Below are 4,779 nucleotides of genomic sequence, written 5' to 3' on the forward strand. Positions count from 1 at the left end.
GGAGACTCAGAACAGGGAAATAAAAAAGTTAAAAATAGAAACATATCCTTATGATTATTTAATTAATATCAATCTCTTTCACAAGACTATAAGATCCATAATGTCAGGACCATATGTATTTTACTCTTTTTATCTTACCAGAAAAAAATTGTCCAAGCCTTAAAAATAGGCAAGAGGTTTCTGGGTATCCTTTCATTAGAGTACTGGGCACTGCCTAGTGCAGAGTTCCCAAAGCCCCAGGCCAGGGGCCAGTACTGGTCATGACCTGTTAGGAACTGGGCCGCACAGCAGGCAGTGAGGAGCACTCACGTGGCTGAAGCTTCATCTGTATTTATAGCTGCTCCCCATCACTCGCATTACCACCTGAGCTCTGCCTCCTGTCAGATCAGTGGTGGCTTTAGATCCTCATAGGAGCATAAACCCTATTGTGAACTGTGCATGTGAGGAATCTAGGTTGCACGCTCCTTATGTGAATATAATGCCTGATGATCTGTCACTGTTTCCCATCGCCCCCACATGGGACCATCTAGTTGCAGAAAAACAAGCTCAGGGCTCCCACAGATTCTTTACTGCTGGCTGGCACAAGATGTGTCATAGCTGAAGCTAATCTCATTAAAAGAAATGAAGAAACACAGGATAAAATGTGGAAAGTGAGATACACTTGTTTTTAGAATAAAGTAGCTCAGTTAATAATGCTGAGTTGTAGAATTATGATAATAATGGTGAGTTGTATAATTATTTCATTATGTATTACAATGTAATGATAATAGAAATAAAGTGCACAAAAAAAGTAATGCACTTGAATCATCCTGAAACCATCCCCTGCCTCCCTGTCTATGGAAAAATGGTCTTCCATGAAACCAGTCCCTATTGCCAAAAAGGTTGGGGACCACTGGTCTAGTGGACCCTTTGCAGCTCCACTCTCTAAGTATCTATCTTAGCATTATCAACGTTCTAAGAGTTTGCATCTTTGATTATTTTTCTACTGACTAAGCTATCTTATAGTTTTATATGCATAGAAGTTACAGAAAACAGATAGCCATGCATAGGAATGCAAAGACAAGGTCTTATCTTGTAGCTTATGTTTCATCAAAGAGATAATGGTCAAAACATTACATTTTATTGCCATAAAGGGTATTAACCAGCTTTATATTTATTAACAAATTTATTTCAGCATTTCTGATTTTGTGTGTGGGTGTGTGTTTGTGTATCTGTTCTTCAAATTCTCCTTTGAACCAGTTTTTAATGTTTTACTACTTCCCAAGTCAGAAAGTGTGAAGAACCTGAGATGTTACCTTACTTGCAGAAACATCAGATGCTAGGTAGGATATTAGACCTTTGCTATTCACAGCAATAACAGTGTAACACTGGTTTCTCATGCCCAGCATCATATTGGATGCTGCAATGACAGCCACATGGTTATACCTCTGAGTACAGGGGTTGTACCACAGGAGAGAAACTGCAAAATTATGAAGCAGCTTGGAGCTTATACAGAAGCTGAAACATCTACTCCCTCTTCCCCTCTAGAGAAGGAGAGAGATATTAGTTTTTACCTGGTTATCTTACTCAGAATGTAAACAAGTCCTGTCATGGAAGAGGGGAAGGTCTTTACTCTGGAAAATAAATATTTGGTTCTGGGAGAGATAAAAAATATTGTATTCATCTTGGAATGGGAGCAAGTGTCTTCATCATAAAGAAGACAAACAGCTCCATGAAGGACACCCTTAATATGTGAAAAGCAAATGCTTGGGGGAGGGAAAAGAGGAGGCATTCTCTGTCATTATAGCATATCAATTGTTATGCTAAGGAGACACATACGGTGCAGGAATACTAAGTAACAGAGAGAGGATTACCTTCCGACAGTTCTCTTATTAATAAGTTGAATAGAATCTTTAACATGTATTCATTTTGTAATTATGCAAAAGTCAGAATTTCAGACTTCAGAAGTTATTTTTTTAGAAACCCCAATGTTCTTAGTACCCAGCACATAAAAATGTTCAATAAATATTTATTGAATAAATAAATAAGTGAATAAAAAGGTAAGAATTAGTTTTTTTGTATTGTCAGAAATGATTATGGAACCTTAATGATTTAAATAATATTACAGAAAATATCACCTCTTTTTTTTTCTATTTTTTATTGGTAGAACTTGGGAAGTAAGCATTATTAATTAAACTACTTTATTCTAAAAACAGGTGTATCCTGTGTCTCTTCATTTCTTTTCATGAGATTAGCTTCAGATATGACACATCTTCTGCCAACCAGCAGTAAAGAAGGGCTTGATGATCACATGTGACACTTTGAGAAAGAAAAAGGGTCTAAATAGGCAACTTCCAAATTCCCTTGATTGTAGTTTATATTGATTAGGACTCTTTTGCTTGCAAATAACAAAAATCAATTCAAACTACTCTAAGCAAAAAAAAGAAAAGAAAATTTATTGGACAGATCATGGACCATGTCATTGAATTTGAGGGCAATGAAGCAACTAGACCTTAGGAACCAAAGTAAAGATTGCAATGCTGCAAGGAAGCCAGAGTCCTCCTCCATCTCACATTTCCGCGTCTTCTGTACATCTCTTTCATGACTCTCTCTCATTGCTTTCTCACAGGCTCTATGGCCTTGTATAAAAGAGCTGGTACCTCGTGCTTCCAGATAACAGTTACTTATCGCAGACTAGTGACCCAGTGGGAAGCAGATTTCTTGCTCTCTCAAGCTAAAGAATTGCTTTCCCAATTCCCAGGACTGATTGCTGTCTCAGGCATTGAATCAATGAGACCATGGTGTTTGAGGGTGGGGTGACACACTGTAGAAATGTGTCAGCTTCTGGGGTAAGCTTGTGGGTAGCAGAAAAGGAAGTCATTTCTAGAAAAGCAGCATTAGACAATAAGTGTTCACTAGAGTAACTTTTAAAAACTATTTGTGAAAAAAAGAGACCATCAACTCAGCAAACTAGGAAAGCACAAAACAGGGCAAAGGCACAGTCTGGTAATGAAGAAGGAGAATAAGAAATGTAAAGTTGTGGAAAAACAGAAGAAATGAGACTCAGAGGGAAAATGGAGAAGGTAGAGCTTTTCCAGTGGGGTAATAATGGTGCTTGTGTTTTCCTAGAGGTGTTTGAAAGTCTAATGAACAAAGTTTTAAAAGCATTTTGTCCTCTCATGTGCTGTCAAATATAACTTCCTGCAATGCCAGGAAGATTCTATATCTGCACTATCCAATTTAAGAGTGCATTAGCCACATGTGGCTACTGAATGCTTGGAATGTGACTAATTTGATAGAGGGAATAAGTTTTTAATTAAATTTAATTTTAATTAATTCACATTCAAATAGCCACATGTGGCTAGTGGCTACCAGGTTGGATAGTGCAGCTTCACAGCTGATGGACTGAATATCCAGACCATGGCCACACTGTAGATAAAAACAGAACTCTGACCCATTACAGACAGCGACCTGCCCAGGAAAAAGCCAAGTCAGGTTTGCATGAAGTCAGACCTCTAAGAACAATCCAGAAAGCCAATCACCCCTGTAACATTTAGCAAAAAAAGACCAGGACTTCAATAATACTTGACAGCTCCCCTATTTTTTGTCGCCACTTCTCATTTAGGACCAACCAGAGAAAGCCAAATATGCACCCATATGACGTGCTCCATGATGAGTTAGCCTGCTCCAAGCCTGCAGTCTCTGATCAGGGCACGTTTGAACCCCCTTTTCTCTATTCCAAGCTTTTCCACCCCTTTGTCTGCCTCTGAGTCTCTGCCAAAACATGAGCAACGGTGGCTGACTCCTTTGCTTGTTTCCATTTGGTTAATATTTAATTTCCACATAGTATTGATTTAGTTAGTGAATTCTGTTTATGCCTGTATGTGTTACTTAATTGTTTTGGCACATGCCCGTCAGTGCTGTATTTTTATGGTATCTGAATGGGAAACCACTATGTCATAGGGATTTATATATTTTTAAAAATTGACAAAAACACAAGTTATCCTTGATTAATATTTGGGGATATGTACATTCAGTAGTCCCCTTGTATTTATTACATGTGCCCATTTGTAAGTGTATAAATTAGAGTTGCCAGATTTAGCAAATAAAAATACAGGACACTCAGTTAAATTAGAATTTCAGATAAACAACACATTAATTTTTGGTGTACATATATCTCATGAATTATTTGTCCTATTATGCCACAATCAATTCATTGTGTATCTAAAATTCAAATTTAACTTGGCATTCTGTCTTTTATCTGGCTGCCCTGGTATAGATGCTCCTCCCAAAGCATGACTGTGTCTCCAGTAGCTGCTGTGGCTGAGAGTGTGCCCAACATCTGCTTCTCATGCAGCCTCACTCTGGCCAGCTTTTATGTAGGGCAGACATCTCAGGAGGAAGAGCCAACAGAACCAGAAGTGTTCCCAGACATGTTGCTTCACCACCGTGCCTCTCTTTCTTTCAGCAAACAGGAGAGGTAGGAGAGGAAGGCAGAACAGAGCACTGGTAAGCTTTGCATTTGCTACAGAGAGGTAGGGGTGCTGGAACACACAGAATCCCCTGGACACAGCCCTATGGGCCCCATGGCATCTGTGCTCTGGTGGTGCAGTGCTGTTGTGCAGGACTCGGAGGGATTTTCTACAGCCTCTCTAATCCTTCCAGGCACCCAGAAATGCATTCGATCTTGATGAATGTGGATAGGCTTCTATTTCTGCCTTGTCTCCTTGATCCCATCTCAGCACAACTGCAGAGCTCACTCTTTTAAATTTACATTTAATGAGATTTTACTGTGCCAGG

This window comes from Homo sapiens, chromosome 6, assembly GCF_000001405.40.
Source record: "Homo sapiens chromosome 6, GRCh38.p14 Primary Assembly".
NCBI lineage: Eukaryota > Metazoa > Chordata > Mammalia > Primates > Hominidae > Homo > Homo sapiens.